At 40.2% G+C, this 17056-nt stretch overlaps 1 protein-coding gene across 41 annotated transcripts in view; it reads right to left on the reverse strand.

Annotated features, from left to right (window-relative positions):
• The window catches only part of ZNF438 (zinc finger protein 438), a 187780-nt gene that overhangs the window by 161690 nt on the left and 9034 nt on the right, over window positions 1–17056 (reverse strand). The window lies entirely within an intron of this gene.

The following is a 17056-nucleotide window of genomic DNA, read 5'->3' on the forward strand; positions in this document are numbered from 1 at the left end:
GCCAATGATTCAATCAATCATGCCTACCCAATGAAGCTTAAATAGAAACCCAAAAGGGCAGGGTTTGGAGAGCTTTCAAATAGCTGAACACATGGAGGTTCGCAAATGGTGGTACACCCAGGGAGGGCAAGGGAGTTCCTTGCCCCTTCCACATGCCTGGCCCTGTGCACCTCTCTATCTGCATCCTTTGTAATACCCTTTATAATAAACCAGTAGATGTGTTTTCCTAAGTTCTGTGAGCCCTCTAGTAAATTAAATGAACCCAAAGAGGTGGTTGTGGGAACCCCAATTTATAGCAGGTTGGTCAGAAGCACAGGTAGAGCCTCCTGAGACTTGCTGTGAGACTGAGGCCTGAAGATATGGGATCTGACACTCTCTCCAGGTGGTGTCAGCATTGAATTGAAGGCAACCCGAGTGGTGTCTGCTGCAAAATGTCTTGGTGTGGTTGGCGGGGGGCGGGGGGGGGAACTCCCACACGTGTGATTACAAAAGTCTTCTGTGTTGATTGCTGTTGGCTAATAGAAAAAAAAAAACCATTTTGAGTGTGTTTTTTCCACTCATTTGGTAAGGCGGAATGAAGGTTGCACACAGAATTAAGGCTGGTAATCAGTGGGCCTTAAAATAAGGAGAGTATCTGCATTATCCAGATGGGCCCAAAGTAATCACAAGGGTTCTTAAAGGGGAAAGCAGGGACAAAAGAATTAAAACCAGAAAAATGGCACTGTGAGAAAGATTTGCCCAGCCACTGCTGTCTCTGAAGATGCAAAGAGACTAAAAGTGAAGGAATGCAGGCAGCCTCCAGAAGCTGGAAAAGACAAGAAAATTGACCTCCCCTAAGCCTTCAGGGAGAAGGGAAGCCCTGCTAACAGGATGTCAGGTCCATTTTGGGCTCCTGACTTCCAGAATGTAAGATAAGAAATTTGTGTTGTTTTAAGTCACAAAGGTTTTTTTGGTGTTTTTTTTTTTTTTTTTTTTTTGGAGACAGAGTCTCACACTGTTGCCCTGGCTGAAGTGCAGTGGCGTGATCTCAGCTCACTGCAACCTCCACCTTCCAGGTTCAAGCGATTCTCCTGTCTCAGCCTCCTGAGTAGCTGGGATTACAGGTGCACGCCACCATGCCCTGCTAATTTTTGTATTTTTAGTTGAGACAGGGTTTCATCATGTTGGTCAGGCTGGTCTCCATCTCCTGACCTCGTGATCTGCCCGCCTTGGCCTCCCAAAGTGCTGGGATTACAGGCGTTAGCCACCGCGCCCGGCCAGATCTTTTGTTTTTTGTTTGTTTGTTTCATTTTATTTTACAGCAGCAATACAAAACTAATACACAGGTAAAATGAACTGTCTTCATAAGCTTTGTGTAGATTAACCAAGATAACATATATAAAGTACCTAACAGAGAGTGCCTAGTATATAGGAAGCATTTAAATAGCTATTAAGAGTGTTAGTTCTATTAATAGTAGAACACACTTAATAGCACTGAAACCAAATAGTCAGCAGAAAGAACACTGACTCAGTTCTAGAATTTACTCAATGCCATGACATAAGACATCTTACTTTGTCTCTGTAGGACTCAGCTCTCTCATAAAGCAAAATGAGGGGGGACTAGATGACTTCTGAAGTTTCTGCCAGCTCTAAAACTTTACGATTCTAAAATCTAATTTCTTAATGACACATTCACTTATTGCTAATTAACTGATTCAGAAAATCCTATTAAATATAAACAGTAGACAAAGCAGTTTTCATTTTATGTTTCAACATTTTCAATATTTTATATTGCTGAGTTACAGCCTTATAAAGTTGAGTCATGGCATAAAAATCACAAGCCTGCAAGCAAGGAAAAATATCTAAGTCATCCTGCTTTTATTTAATGGCCTTACAGTCAAATTGAAATAATAATAATAATATCTTTTCAAACAGCTCAAAGTATATTCCCACATATTACCTCACTTCTTCTTTTTTAACAGCTTCATTGAGGTATAATTCACATACCATGCAATTTACCCTTTTGAAATATACAATTCCATGGTTTTAGTATATTCAGAGTTGTGCCACAATCACCGCAACTTTAGAACATTTTTATCATCCCAAAATGAAACTCCCTATCCATTAGTAGTCATTCCCCATCTCCCTCCTCTAACCCTCTCAGCTCACAAATCTACTTTCTGTCCCTATGGATTGGCCTACCTTGCACATTTCACATAAATGGAATCATACAACATATAGCCTTTTATGTCTGATCCTTTCACTTAGCATGTTTTGTTATGTTATAGCATGTGTCAGTACTTTATTCCTTTATGCTTTTAATGCTGAATAATATTCCATTGTATGGATGTACCACATTTTGTTTATATATTCATCAGCTGATAGATATCTAGGTTGTTTCCGCTGTTTAGCTATTAGGAATAATGTTACTAGCATTTATGTATAAGTTTTTGTATGTAGGTATGTTTTCATTTCTCTTGCACAGATACCTAGGAGTGAAACTGCTAGGTAACATAGGGTAACACCTTTTGAAGAACTGCCAAGCTATTTCTAAAGTGGCTGCCCATTTTAAATTCCTACCAGCAATGTATGGAGCGTCCAATTACTCCACATCCTCACTAACACTTGTTATCTGCTTTTGATTACAGCTAACTAGTGGGCATGAAGTAGTATCTTATGTGGTTTTGATTTGCTTCTCTCTATGAGTGACAACGTTGAGCATCTTTTCGTGTGCTTATCAGCCATTCATAAATCTTCCTTAGAGAAATGTCTATTTAGATCCGTTGCCCATTTTAATGGGGTATTTTTGTCTTTTTAATATTGAGCTGCAAGAGTTCTTTATAAATGTGGATATAAGTCCGTTATCAGATATATAATTTGCAAGTATTTTCTCTTACCCTGTATACCTCATCTAACCTTAGTGCAGCTACTTGCACTAGATAGATTGTGTGTTGCTATCCCCATTTTGCAGACAGAATTGGCATGTGATTAAACAGACCTGATAACTGGCACTCTTTTAAAGAAAACGTACAGCTGTGCCTCTGCTTCCATTAATTTAAAAGAGCCATATACTGATAGCAATATTGTGACAACACGTCCAGGAAGGCTGCCTTGTTCAACTCAATAGATACAGGGAAGCTATCCTCTATCTATTATACAACCTAACAATATTTTCCACAGTTATACCAAGGATAGTTCATTCCTTCACTCAAAAAATACTAAGTATTATATGTGAGGTGCTGCACTACTCCTAGCTCACGTGCATCCATGAACATGATCCAATCCTTGCCCTCATTAGTCTTATAATTTGGCAGTATCCTGCAAAACCCTCAACCTTAAATTCCTTAGTTGCAAACAGTCCTGACAAAGAAATGTTTTATCTTAAAGATTCACTCTCAACTCAGAGGAAGCATTACAAAGCTTAACACAAGATACCCTATTTTTTTTAAATGCAAAGCATCAAACTTACTTTGTGGCCTAGGACAACCTTGTTTTTGAGTACTGCTCCAACAGCTAGGCCATCACCTGGTTCTTATCAATTCTTTTTTTTTTTTTTTTTTTTTGAGATGGAGTCTCACTCTGTCACCCAGCAGGCTGGAGTGCAGTGGCTCAATCTCGGCTCACTGCAACCTCCACCTCCCAAGTTCAAGCGATTCTCCTGCCTCAGCCTCCTGAGTAGCTGGGATTACAGGTGCCTGCCATGACAACCGGCTAATTTTTGTATTTTTAGTAGAGATGGGGTTTCACCATATCGGCCAGGCTGGTCTTGAACTCCTGACCTCGTGATCCACCTGCCTTGGCCTCCCAAAGTGCTGGTATTACAGAAATGAGCCACAGTGCCCGGACTTGTCAATCATTTTTATAATGCAGCAATGCTTACTTTAATGACATTTTTCAAAATTAAACATGGCTAAAAGAAAAAATACTTATATGTTTACCTTTAACCAGAAAAGCCTGATGATTCAGAGACCAACCCATGGCCAGTTCCTATTCCATGCTGAATAAAAATGTTATAATAGCTCCACTGAACAAAACCAAAATACAGAATTACAAATCTGACAACTTAAATAGGTAGTTCTAACCTTTTCCATCAAAGTAGTCCTAATTCAGAGCTGAGGGACCAAATAATCCTGGGAAGACTAAAGACATAACCCTAAGTGGCCCATGGAAACTTTAAATTTCTTGATCTTATTTTTTTCCTTAAAAATTGTACACAAATGTTACATTCTAAACTATAGTACATCTATTTTCTTTTGGCATAAAAAATTGAACATGTTTAATTAGGGTCATTAAAAAAATTTGTTGGCTAGACACAATGGCTCATGCCTGTGTTTCTAACACTTTGGGAGACTGAGAAGGGAGGACAGCTTGAGGCCAGGAGTTTTAGATCAGCCTGGGCAACAAAGCAAGACCCTGCTCCAGAAAAAAAAAATTAAAAATTAGCTGGGCACGGTAGCACACATCTGTAGTTCTAGGTACTTTCTTGCATGACTGAGGCAGGAGGATCACTTGTGCCCAGGAGTTCAAGGCTGCAGTGAGCTATTATTACACCACTGCACTCCAGCCTGGATAACGAAGTGAGACCCTGTTTGAAAAAAAAAAAAAAAAAAAAAAAAAAAAAAGATTTTGTTGAGAAGGACAGACAGAACCTATGGTGTATAATTAGAACTATGTTAACTTTTACTATAAAAATGTAGTGGATTAAATAATAGCCAGTGAGGAAAATTAACACTCAGGAAGATGCACCATGCATGCTTCATGGTTCTGAGTGCCCTCAGCACACCACTTTGTAACGGGAGGGTGCACGTACCACTGTCAGGCAAAACAGGTGCCTGAGGATTAAGAAGGCACAGGCTGAGCAGAGAGAGCATGGCCTGGGGTGATCCCAGGGATGAGCTGCTGCAAAAGAGCAACAGTTCAACGTGGGGCTTTTCCACACTGTGAGCTGGCAGGCTAACGGTTCTCAGAAGGTGTCTCAAAGTTGTTTTGGAGGTCAGAGTACAACTGCAAGTGGGCAGAGCACTGCACTCCTGACCCCCATTTCCCTCGGTTTCCCCTGGCTGACACACTGGGCTTCCATCAAAGTTTTCTGCAGACTGAAGTCTGAAGTCAGACTGAATAAAAGGTCTGAAAACCTAGATCTAGAGGAAGTCTTGGCCAGGAAGACAACAATGTGCATCAGATATGAAAGACAAGGTGAGGACAAAATGGGAGAATGAATAATGGAGCTGGTGAGGAAGAGAGTCAAAAACAGGAAAGGGTGCGGTATAAGCCAAGGGTCAGGGTCAGGCCTTCATCCACAGAAAAGAACGTCTATTGTGGAGTGGGTGTGTCTGCTTAAAGGAATAGCAACGAGATTCTCACTCAGAAGCACTCAACTGCTGAAATCTCAAATTCCCATATGTTATTTGTGAACCACCATCTCTTGTCCTTCTACCTCTCTGGATTACTTAATTGCCCATGGCCAATCAACTCTCCAAAAAGCAGCCAGTATGAGCCTTCAGAAAAGTAAAACAGATGTTATGTCTCTGACTCACACTTTCAACGGCTTTTCACGACCCTTGAATAGAATCCTAGGTCCTTATAGTGGCCCTAATGTATCATGGCCCTAATTTATTACCACTGTCCTCCTCCTCACTCACGCTCCCCAGTGCCATGGCTGTTCCTTATACAAGCCCCTGCCAGGGCTTTGCACAAACATGTGCTGTTTCCTTGCCCTGGAATGCTCTCAGACATCTGCATTGCTGTGCCCCTGATAACACTCATGTCTCTGCTCAGAGGTCACTTCTCAGAGTCTCTTCCCTGATCTCATTTTCTTTTTTTTTTTTCTTTTTTTTTTTGAGATGGAGTCTCGCTCTGTCGCCCAGGCTGGAGTGCAGTGGCATGATCTTGGCTCCACTGCAAGCTCCACCTCCTGGGTTCACGCCATTCTCCTGCCTCAGCCTCCCAAGTAGCTGGGACTACAGGCACCCGCCACCACGCCCGGCTAATTTTTTGTATTTTTAGTAGAGATGGGGTTTCACAGTGTTAGCCAGGATGGTCTCGATCTCCTGACCTTGTGATCCGCCCACCTCGGCCTCCCAAAGTGCTGGGATTACAGGCATGAGCCACAGTGCCTGGCCAATCTCATTTTCTTTTTGACATTTTCTTACCATCTGAAATTATACATACAAGTATGTATATGTTTATACACATAATATATGTTAATCGTCTACCTCCCCATTGGAATTAAGCTCTACAAGGGCAGATTTTGTTTTGATCACTGTTTTGATCTAGGGGGCCATAGCACCTAGAACAGTGTCTAGAAGATAAATGCTCAACACACATTTATTGAAGGAATGACTGCATACACCAACTCTGTTCTTAAATCTGTTAAGCTCTGGTCTTTCTCCACCTGACTCTCTCTTTCCCACTTCACTCTCTATCTTTCCTAATCCATTAACCATCCTCCAAGCTTCACTTCTTATCCATTGTAACCCAGAATCTGATCTCCCAGAAAGAGGGACCCTCTTCCCCAACAATGCCAGAAAGGAGGTAAGAATGTGTGTGTGGTTATTGGCCAGTGAGGGTGAAGTAAACTGAGGGAATCTGACCTAATAACCTCTCACTCCCTGGCCTAAATTCTCAACTGTCTTACTGGCTTGTCCTTCCACATACACTCCCTAAACCAATGTAAGAGTCTACTTCTTTAGTCCCATACCCAGACTAGAGATCACTGTTATAAAAATCCCCAACTGGGCCGGGCGCGGTGGCTCACGCCTGTAATCCCAGCACTTTGGGAGGCCGAGGCGGGCGGATCACGAGGTCAGGAGATCGAGACCATCCCGGCTAAAACGGCGAAACCCCGTGTCTACTAAAAATACAAAAAATTAGCCGCGCGCGGTGGCGGGCGCCTGTAGTCCCAGCTACTCGGGAGGCTGAGGCAGGAGAATGGCGTGAACCCGGGAGGCGGAGCTTGCAGTGAGCCGAGATCCCGCCACTGCACTCCAGCCTGGGCGACAGAGCGAGACTCCGTCTCAAAAAAAAAAAATCCCCAACTGCACAAGCTGGGAATTCCACAAATACATGGCCTCCCACCTCAGCAGACCCTTCTCACTGCTGCCATCAATCCTCTCTCAGGCTCTCTGATGTCCCACAGATTCAATTCCAAACGTCCACCACTTTCAAGCTCCCTACACCCCCTTCACTCAGAAAATGACATCACCTCCACAGAAACAAAAGAGGGGTTATTAGGTCAGACTCCCTCAGTTTCCTCCACCCTCACTGACCAACAAACACACGCACATTCTTCCCTCCTTCCTGGCACTGTGGAGGAAGGTGCCAGGAAGATGCAGGAAAGAAACTTCCCGCTCAAAGCTAATCTGCAACTTAAGGTATCCACCTCCTTATGGATCTGATGCCATCATTTATCCACTTCCCCCTCCACATTTTCTATCTCTCCTTCTCTTCTTTTACCCCGCTGCACATAAATGCTTACATTTCTCCCATCATTTGATTCATTTAAAAAAATGAACCAAACTAATATACATCCCCAGACTTTATGTCTCTCTTGCCACTTCCTATTTGCCTCTTTTCCTTCACATCCAAGTCCGAAAAAGAGTTAAAACTGTTTTTACTGTCTCCCCTACCCCACATCATTTCCTACTTAACCCTCTGCAATCTGGACTGCAAACACAAAACTGCTCTTCCCAAAGCACAGATGACTTCTTAAATGAAAATTCCCTCAAAGTGTTATCAATTTAATAATGATATCCTTGATCTTAAAATGCTTGTCTCTTGGCTTCAGTAACATTATTCTTTCTTGGTGTCCTTTCCACTTTTTTGGTCCCTTCTTTGCAGTCCAATTTGCTATACTGACTGTGTGATCTGAAAAAAAACAAAAAACCTCTAATCATGTCATGTCACAGTTAGGAGCATAGGCTTTGTCTTTGTCTGAGCTACCACAACAACAGAAATTTAACTGGGTGGCTTAAACAACAGAAATTTATTCTCTCACAGCTCTGTAGGCTGAGAAGTCCAAGATCAGGGTGCCAGCATGGTCGCTTTCTGATAAGGGCCACTTCTGGGCTTGCAGACAGCCACCTTACCACTGTGTCCTCATATGGCAGCGGAAGAGCAAGAGTAAGCTCTCTGGTGTCTCTTCTTATAAGCGCACTATTCACATCATGAGGGCCCCACCTTCAGGCCCTCATCTAAACCTAATTATCTATCAAAGGCCCCATCTCTAATTACTATAAACATGGAGGATTAGGGCTTCCACATGAGTTTGGTGGGGATCCAATTCAGTCCATAGCATGCTCTGTGGCAAGTAAAGCCTAGCGAGAATCTACACTTTACCATTAATCAGCTGCGTGATGACGGTGAAGGTACCCAACCTCCCAGTGCCTCACTTGCCTTATCTACAAAACATGAGCAACAGTACTTACCACATAAATCTGTTGTAAGGATCAAATAAGATAAACGCTTAAAACAGTGCCTGCATACAGTAAACATGCAATAAATATGTCATTCTTACTGTTATAATTATATATAAATGTGTGTGTATGTGTGTGTGTGTGTGTATATATATATATATATATTTATTTAGAGACAGAGTCTCACTCTGTAACCCAAGCTAGAGTACAGTGGTGTGATCATAACTCCAACTCCTGAGCTGAAGTCATCCCCCCACTTCAGCCTCCTGAGTAGCAGAGACTACAGGCATATGCCACCATGCCCAGTTAATTAAAAGAAAACTTTTTTTGTAGATACAAGGTCTTGCTATGTTACCCAGATTAGTCTTGAACACCTGGCTTCAAGCGATCCTCCGAAAGCACGTCGGCTTCCGAAAGTGCTGAGATTACAGGCGTGAGCTACCATACCCAGTCTGTTACTGTTATTGATCTTGTCATTATCATAGCTGTCTTTATTATAATCATCATTGCTGATTGCCATTGTTATTACTATTATTATCAATATTGTTTCTGTCATTATTACCAGTGATAAAATAAAATTATTCTAGATCGAGTCCTACGTAAGATAATTCAACAAATAAATAATTTTTACAAGAATACAGCATTATGGCCGGACGTGGTGGCTCACACCTGTCATCCCAGCACTTTGGGAGGCAGAGGCAAGCAGATCACCTGAGGTCAGGAGTTCAAGACCAGCCTGGCCAACACGGTGAAACCCCGTCTCTACTAAAAATACAAAAATTAGCCGGACGTAGTGGTGTATGCCTGCAATCCCAGCTACTCAGGAGGCTGAGACAGGAGAATTGCTTGAACCTGGGAGGCTGAGGTTGCAGTGAGCTGAGATCATGCCACTGCACTCCAGCCTGGGTGGCAGAGTGAGACTCTGTCTCAAAAACAAAAACAAAAAACAGCATTATTTATAGAAGGAAAACTTGAAAGCAATCTAAATGCCAATATACTATCAACTTCAGCTGCAATAATGACATACCATGACTGGGACTTCCTCACAGTTCTGGAGGCTGCAGTCTAAGATCATGGCGCTGGCATTGTCAAGTTCTGATGAGGACCCTCTTCCTTGCTAGCAGATGGCTGTACTCTTACTGTGTCTTCACACAGGTGAAAAGAGAGCTCTGGTATCTCTTCCTCTCCTTATAGGGGCACCAGTTCTATCTGATCAGGGGTCCATTCTTATGACCTTACTTAACCTTAATCACCTCCTTAAAGGCCACATCTCCAATACTGTCATGTGGAAGGTTAGGGCCTCAACATATGAATTTTGGGGGGACATAACTAGTCCACAGTGACCAATAATAATAAAATTTTAAGTACAGTAAAACTGAGTGTTATACAATAATAACCATGCAAATATAAGAACTCTAAAGCAAGAAAGAAAATAGATATCACATGAAAATATCAGGATATAAAATTTTAATATAAATATGTAAAGCACATGCTTATGAAAATAAAAAGAAACATAGCATAATTATAACAGGGGTGATGTTAAAGTAAGAGCTTTATTTCTAAAGTGTTGGTACAATTAGACAATCTGAAAAATAAATTTTCATAGAAAGAATACATAAATGAAAAGCTTCAACTGAAAAAAATCAAGAATAATTTCCAATCTAACATTCTATATTTGATTCCTGCTTATATCATTACCATCTCTATTAACTAGGATATAAGCTAAACTCCTGTAATGAGACCAATATAGTGGCTCAGATAAAAAAAGAATTTATTTCTCTCTCACGTTACAGTCAAGAGGCAGACAAGTGGTCAAGGAAAGGTAAGTAGCTTTGCTCTATAAGGTCATCCAGAGACTAAGATTCCTCCTGTTTTCTCTTACCACTCCTTGGGGCACTGCCCTCAGGTGCATGATTGAAGCTAACTCACCAATGCTTCATTTACGGGGATGGGAGGGAAAAGAATATGACTAACAAGCCTCTTTTTTAATACAAATATGTTTTTAAAAGTAGCATATGTCACTTCCACTCTCATCCCACTGGCCAGAACTTAGAAATCTGGCTTCATCTGGCTACAAGGAGCGTAAGAAATACAATTTCTTTGTAGGGGTTATGTGCCTAGCTAAATACGTACCAAAGGTGGGAGTGCATCCTTCTTCCCACTCTGAAATAGTCATCTCCTTTCTAAAGGGATAACTTGAAGTCTCATCCAGTTACTGGATTTAGCTTAAGGTCTAGGTCTCTGGGCAATATACAACCCTCTTCAACTCATTCACATCCGTGTAGCTCCTTCCTAGTCCAGCGGCTCGCAAACTAACAAAAGAGTATAACCTCTGCTCTCCACCACCACCATCGCACACAAAATACAACTGTGGAATACAAATGAGATTAATGCAATTAAGTCTTCCATTCTGAAAATAAAAGAATAGCAAACACACATTTTTATCAATGATGAAACACTTCTAGAAAGGAATTGCAAAGTATCTCTGCTCTAGCAAGAAGGCAAGTCCCTTGGTTCATTTCAGATTCTGTTCTCTGAGGGGAAGACCCTTGTCCAGGCAGTCTTGGCTTTGCCTTTGGAAGATTTTTTCTTTTCCATTATCCTTTCTGGTCATACATGAAACAAACTTGGAAGAGTATATGCTCCAATAGGGCAGCAAAGATCTAATAGCCTACTTCCTGCTGGTGCAAATTTGGGACCAAGGGTTGCTTTAGGTGTCAAACAATATCAAACCAGCAGAGGCTTTTGCAAGCCAAACTTATGGGATCTTTGGCAACATAATCTCCTAAAAATTTCAAAAGGTCTGTTTGCCTCAGTCAGTTCCACAAGAAAGTAGTAACCACAACTAAGGATTTAATCTGGTCATAGATATTAAGCTTGTCAACTCTCCTGTTTTATCTGCTGGCCTCTGTGACGCAGCCATCGCTCCCTCTCTTCAACCCTCTCTTGATTGAAGGTTAGCTACCTTGAGATTATCTGATTCACATCAGGAGGATTATACCACTCCAACCCACTGACATCAGGACAGGCCATGTGACTTGAGATAATCCTTCTGACCTGACTGATTTCAGGCTTAGCCATTTGACTTGCTTTGGCCAATAAAATATGAACAAAAGTAACACGTACCACTTCCAAGACACTGGTTCTGCCATATCTCTTTTGCCTGTCACAAGAATGGCAATGTCCCAAACAGGCTTATTCCTTTGGCTTAAATAATGAAGTGACAAAGTATGTGGAACACAGCCACAGCTAACATGTCATGAGTAAGAAATAAACCTTTGTTGTTGTAAGGAACTGAGATTTTGTATGTATAACTGAAGCTTTTACATAGTTCAAATGACTGGTTGAGGTGGAAAAGCAAATCCTTAATTTGAACCTTGCCTGGACTGTCTGCCACTGTCAGGCCAAGAAAATCTAACAGGAGATTCCTGAGAATGACTATCTTACCTCTTGCTGTTTGGCACAGAGAAGCAATTTTTTCCAACACTGCAATGCCCCATATTACTGGCCTCTCAGTCAATTCAGACCACAGGCCATTGGCAGAGAGAACCTCCTTTAGCTGTATATTATAACTAAAAACTATACTCCCTTTCAACTCTAATTGCAAACTGGCTAATCGTTCTCTTATTTGATGCCCTCTTGTAGTTACTGGCAAGGACGAATCAACTCATATTAACAGTCTGATTCTTTCTAACTACTTCCCTGGAGGTACAAACTGGGTAGACAAATTAACTCTCTTCCAAGTTATTAGAGGTGACAGTCTCACTGAACATTTTGCCACCACATAATAAGGGTCACCAGTTTTCCAGCCTATAACATGTTTTCTACTGTCTGTCGACCAACCACTTAACCAGTGCTATACATTTCAGCTTTTTAATTGTGGAACACCACTTCAGGCGCCAATTTTTGTACTATACAGGCTATGGGCTAAACTGCTGTAATAAACTGATGCCAAAAACCAGTGGCTAAAACAAGAAAGTTTATTCTCTTCCTTGAAACAAGAGAGAGATAGGCAGATGGCCAGGGAGAAGATGAAGAGTAGTAATTGGTTCTGTTCCACAAGGTCATCCAGGAACCTAGGCAGAGGGATCTTTAGGTTCAAGGTAACTGTTGCCATTCCAGTTGCTGCTGCTTTCAGTTAGGGGGAAAGGGAGAGGGGTGGGCAGACGAAGTTCAGGACAAGCACCTTATATTTACAAAGATAACTCAGAATTTGCACATATCACTTGTGTTCTTATCTAACTGGCCCAAATCTAATCACAAAGTCATACTTATTGGCAGGAGGAGTTTAAAAACAGTCTCTATGTACATAGCCATGTATCTGGCTAAACCAACAGGGTTCTGGTAGTAGAAGAAAGGAGGAATTAGATATTGGAGCAGAATTAGCAGTCTTTGCCACACTCTCATACAATCTATTCTCCATAGTCATCAGAGTTTCTTTAAAGGCACGGTTCAGACAATGGCACCCTCTGTTCCAAACCCTCCAGGGCTTCCTATTTCACTTAGCATAAAAACCAAAGTCCTCACAATGACCGACAAGTCTTCACACAATGTGCCCCTTCATTGCCTCTCTAACCTCATCTCCTAATATTGTTCCCATAAAATAAATACCAAATGTATTAAAAACCAATGTATAAAAGCTAAAACTATAATGCTAATGAAAGAAAAAGTTAAATAACATATTTGCAACCTTGGGATGACGAAAGATTTCTTCAAGATCTCAAAAGCATAAACATGGAAAAATTTTGATGGCGTCAACTTTGATGAATTGGACACCACAGACAAAATTAGAAGATAGGCAAAAGACTGGAAGAATATGTTTGCAACATCTAAAAAGGCAAGGGATTAAAATCCAGTGTATGCCAAGAACTGCTGCAAAAACAACAACCAAAAGATAGAAAGTGCAACTGAAAATCTGACAAAAAGGCAGAGGCAGACAATTCACAGAAAGTGAAGTTAAGTTTGCCAGATAATATACAGGATGCCCCACTGAATCTTAATTTCAGATAAATAATTGTTGTTTTTTGTAGAAGCGTGTCCTGCATATTGCATGGCCCATACTTACACTAAAAATTTATTTGTTGCTTACCTGAAACTCAACCTTAACAAGGTATCTGTATTTTTATTTGCTAAATTTGGAACTGTAAGTGAAATCCATACGAGTAAATGAAGAGAATCTCACTCTCACTCACTAGTAATTAAAAAAATGCAAATTAAAATTTGAGCTACCATTTTACCCATTATACCAGCAAAGACTAGAAAATAAGGCTTTTATTGAAGAACATGTAACTCTTTTTTTCCATTTTACTACAAAAGATAACCTAACCTAAGATTCTTTATCATATCACTAGGCAAATAAGAGCCCAACTATTCACTGCATGTACACAGAGAAAAACACATTTCAAATCCATTTATTTCATACTGCAGATAACAAGAATAATGCTAGTAACCATATTCAGGAATCAATTTTTTCCTAGGAATTTTAAGTACATATTTAGCGTGAACCTAAAACAATCAAAAGGGTGAGATTGTAGTTTAGAGTTTATTCAAGCACAAAGGTTGAGGACTGCAGCCAGGGACACACTTCCAAGTTGCCTAGCTGAGTGCTCCAGAAAACAAAAGAGAGTCTCAAGTTTTTAAAGAAAAAAAGGACGAATCAGGAGAGGCGGCAATTACAAAAGCTGTTCATCAGAAATTCTCATTGGTTTACAAAAATAACATTGCTTGGTGATTGGATATACGTTGTTGAACTACAGGGTATATGGCATTTTATGGGTACTTGGCGTCAGTTAGTCTGGAGCCCCAATAGCAAGCAGCTTGAAGAGGTCATTATTTAGCTCTAGGGGGAATGAGATGTGACTGCTGTTACATTTTAAATTCCTTTCTGGGCCTGATGGTTTAAAGGAGGTTGCATTCCCAAATAAAAAGGATTTTTTTTATTTCTCCTTAGTATAAATTTATAAAGTTTAACTGTTAAAGATAACAGTGTTTGAATATCTTTTAGTAAACAACAGCTCTGTCAAAAACAATATTACTTATTGTTCATAATGTTAATGTTATATTATAAATAATTTTATAATATATTAACTATAGTATTAATTTTCACACTAGGCTAAGATTAACCTCTTAAGGTTAACTATCATACAGGTCAGAAATTTGGTCTGTCAACAGAGACAAGAATCAGACTTTACATTTTCAAAGAGTGTTTCCATAAAAATATCTAAATCACACATAGTTTTACCACTGGATTATTCCTACCTGGAAGGCAGGAATGAAGGTATGACACAAAAGCTGTAGATTAAGGAAGGAAATAGGGGCTGCATATAAAAACAACAGCAACTTTTTTTTTTTTTTTTTTTTGAGACAGGCTCTCACTCTGTCACCCAGGCTGGAGTGCAGTGGCGCAATCTCAGCTTACAACAGCATCCATTTTTTAACATGTTATGAACTTATTACATACATAAATACAGACAGCACTTAGGGCATTTAAAAATAAAACTTCAATACAAAAAAGAAATTACACCAAAAACTCATTCTGACTTCTATAACTTCTAAGATAATGAATGCCCTAAATTTATTTTAACATCTCCATAGGAAAATAATAATTTAAAATATTACTGTGAAAGATCAATTTAGAAAAATGTTTTGTCACAGAGTAAATAGTTATAGATAGTACAGTAGTTCTTTATTTCATACTGAAAAAGAAAAATATTCTAAATAAATGTTAAACAACTGAAATATTGGGTTGGTGCAAACGTTCATTGCAGGTTTTGTATTGTTGGAATTTGCCGTTTGATATTGGAATACATTCTTAAAATAAATGTGGTTATGCTATATATCATTTTAATGGACATTTCTCACTTTGTTTTTTTTCTTAATGATTTATTATTTGCTGTTTATTTTATATTTATTTTAGACTATGGAAATGATGTTAGACAAATAGCAAATTCCAGCGATTTTCTTATTCGGGGTCAAAATGGTTCATAAAGCAGCAGAGACAACTCACAACACCAACAACGCATTTGGCCTAGGAACTACTAACAAATACTACCAAAAACTACACCACAATACAGTGGTGGTTCAAGAAGTTTTGCAAAGGAGACTCAAAAATGAGGAACATCATTGGCCTGCCATCAGAAGTTGACAAATGACCAATTGAGAGCAATCATTGAAGTTGATCGTCTTACAGCTAAGTGAGAAGCTGCCAAAGAACTCAACATTGACCATTCTACGGTCGTTTGGCATTTGAAGCAAATTGGAAAGTTGAAAAAGCTCAATAAATGGGTGCCTCAGGACCTGAAGGAAAATTTTTTAAAATTGTCATTTTGAAGTGCCATCTTATACTACACAACAATAATGAACCATTTCTCAATCGGATTGTGACGTGTGACAAAAAGTGGATTTTATACGACAACTGGCAACGACCAGCTCAGTGGCTGGACCCAGAAGCTCCAAAGCACTTCCCAAAACCAAACTTGCACCAAAAAAAGGTCATAGTCACTGTTTGGTGGCCTGCTGCCGCTCTGATCCACTACAGCTTTCTTCCTTTTTTTTTTCTTTTTTTTGAGACGGAGTCTCACTCTGTCACCCAGGCTGGAATGCAGTGGTACAATCTCAACTCACTGCAACCTCTGCCTCCGAGGTTCAAGCAATTCTCCTGCCTCAGCCTCTCAAGTAGCTGGAACTACAGGTGCACACCACCATGCCTGGCCAATTTTGTATTTTTAGTAGAGACAGGGTTTCGCAATGTTGGCCAGGCTGGTCTCGAACTCCTGACCTCAGGTGATCCACCCACCTCGGCCTCCCAAAGTGCTGGGATTACAGGCGTGAGCCACCACACCTGGCCCACTACAGCTTTCTGAATCCTGGTGAAACCATTACATCTGAGAAGTACACTCAGCAAATCAATGAGATGCACTGAAAACTGCAACACCTGCAGCCAGCGTTGGTCAACAGAAAGGGCCCAATTCTTCTTCATGACAATGCCCAACCGCACGACACACAACAAACGCTTCGAAAGCTGAATGCATTGAGCTATGAAGTTTGCCTCATCCGCCATATTCACCTGACCTCTTGTCAACCACCACTTCTTCAAGCATCTCGACAACTATTTGAAAGGAAAATGCTTCCAAAACCAGCAGGTTTTTGGAAAGCAGAAAATGCTTTCCAAATCCCAAAGCATGAATTTTTAAGCTACAGGAATGAACAAACTTATTTCTCATTGGCAAAAATGTGTTGATTATAATGCTTCCTGCTCTGATTAATAAAGACGTGTCTGAGCCGACTTATAATGATTTAAAATTCACGGTCCAAAACCGCAATTACTTTTGCACCAACCTAATACTTTATATAAATGGTACTATGATCTAATAATTATAGTAACATGATTTGCAAATACTAAAATATTTTGCTTGCCTTGTTCTATAAAATATATGTAATATAATCACTAATCTTTCATAATGTTGATCAGAATACTTTCCAAGTAACATTCAAAAAGTAATCACTTCTAGATGTATCTCTAATAACAGCAAAAACAACAGACTTCTAGATCTATAATTCGGCATCTATCAAGACTAATTGTGGCAGGCACATAATATAACACACTCCCAAAAGAGAAAAAAAATAGACATAACCTTCACCATAGACAGCACAGCCTTCACCAT

The sequence above is a fragment of the Homo sapiens genome, chromosome 10 (assembly GCF_000001405.40).
Source record: "Homo sapiens chromosome 10, GRCh38.p14 Primary Assembly".
NCBI classification, from domain to species: Eukaryota; Metazoa; Chordata; class Mammalia; order Primates; family Hominidae; genus Homo; species Homo sapiens.